The sequence below is a fragment of the Homo sapiens genome, chromosome 8 (assembly GCF_000001405.40).
Source record: "Homo sapiens chromosome 8, GRCh38.p14 Primary Assembly".
NCBI lineage: Eukaryota > Metazoa > Chordata > Mammalia > Primates > Hominidae > Homo > Homo sapiens.
Window position 1 is genome coordinate 126,422,112 of NC_000008.11, and position 1,999 is coordinate 126,424,110.

Consider the following 1,999-nt stretch of genomic DNA (forward strand, 5'->3'; position numbering starts at 1 on the left):
GGTTTTTTAAAAAGACATTTTGACTGTTAGCCATTGTCTCGTTTGATCCTCACAACAGCACTTCAGGTTATTATTGTTATTGTTATATAATAGTCCCTATATTATACATAAGAAAACAGGGTCAGGGAGATAAAGTATTTAATATGGTTTTGCTCTGGGTCCCCACCCAAATCTCATCTTGAATTGTACTCCCATAATTCCCACGGGTTGTGGGAGGTACCTGGTGGGAGATAATTGAATCATGGGGGTGGTTTCTCCCATGTTGTTCTCATGGTAGTGAAAAAGTCTCATGAGATCTGATGGCTTTATAAAGAGAAACCCCTTTTGCCTGGCTCTATTTGCCTGCTGCCAATTGTGTAAGATGTGACTTGCTTCTCCTTGCCTTCTGCCATGATTGTGAGGCTTCCCCAGCCATGTGGAACTGTAAGTCAATTAAACCTCTTTCTTTGGTAAATTGCCCAGTCTTGGGTATGTCTTTATCAGCAGTGTGGAAACAGATGAATAAAGTATTGGTGCGTTTATTGACAAATATATATTATCAACAATGATAATAAGGAAAACAGTAGTTGTAGATTTTGCTGAGTATGTATCACTGTCCCAAACATTTTAAATGTATTTGTGGTTTAATTTCCACATAACTCTGTGAGATTGGTGATAACATTGTCTAGTTTTATTCTGAGACACAGAGAGATTAAGCAACTTTCCTGAGATCACACAGCTAGGAACTGGAGTCAAGATGTGATGCCAGGCAATCTATCCCCAGAGCTCTTGTTTTTACCATAAACTGTAGCAAATGTGGCCTCTTGCTAAACAATAAACTGTTGAAACGAATAAGACATAGGTGTCACGCATGTCCGTGTAAAGAGACCACCAAACAGGCTTTGTGTGAGCAATAAAGCTTTTTAATCACCTGGGTGCAGGCAGGCTGAGTCCGAAAAAGAGAGTCAGCTAAGGGAGATAGGGGTAGGGCTGTTTTATAGCATTTAGGTAGGCAGTGGAAAATTACAGTCAAAGGGAGTTGTTCTCTGGTGGGCAGGGGCAGGGGTCACAAGGTGCTCAGTGGGGGAGCTTCTGAGCCAGGAGAAGGAATTTCACAAGGTAATGTCAGGAACCGGCCATTTTCACTTCTTTTGTGATTCTTCAATTACTTCAGGCCATCTGGATGTATATGTGCAGGCTTGGGCTCAGAGGCCTGACAATAGATATAACCCTTATCCTTAAGGAATTCACAGGCCAGTTTGGGGAACCTGACATATAAATTAGATTATTACAATTCAAGGAGATAAAAAAGATAAGATGCACTATCAGAGCAGTGACAGCGGAGTGACAAAAGTCAATATGTTGGACCTTGGATTGAAACCCAGGCCTCCTGACTGCAGAGTCGATATTTATTTATTCTTTCCTTTATTCGATAAACATTTAGATTGAAAATTATAACTTAAAAAAAAGGCATTCTTCTTCCCCTGAAGAAGCAATCATTACAGCCCAGAGAAAATATTTCTCAAAACACGTTAAGCCCATCACAGCCTTAGTTCCAATATGAACACATCAAGGGTTCATTGATCATAAACTGAAGTGAGGGCTATTCAGTTCTCCACTGCTTTACCCATCCCCCACCCTGACCACTGCCATAAAGGGGCACCAAGAAACATTCCCTTAACCCATTTAGCAGTGGTGCCCTGATTTAATGTAACCTCAAGTTAAATTGTTTTCACTAATGCGAACTTAATGAGGGCCCCTTTAATCCCTTCAGGAATTTTCTTTTTAGAGGTTGGGTCTTGGCTCTACCATGAGAACTGTTCTCTCTGGTGGAGGGTCTCCAGCTTAAGTCTTTTGGGGAATTCCAGGAATGTAGCAATGATCAGCACATTCTTTAGATGTAACTAGGGGTTTTGAACCAATCCCCACAAAAGTATCTTTGAAAGATGTGGCTCAGATTTCCATACCTACTCTTTTTGGGGTCAGAAATATCTCAGAATACACTTTCCCCAATAAAAAT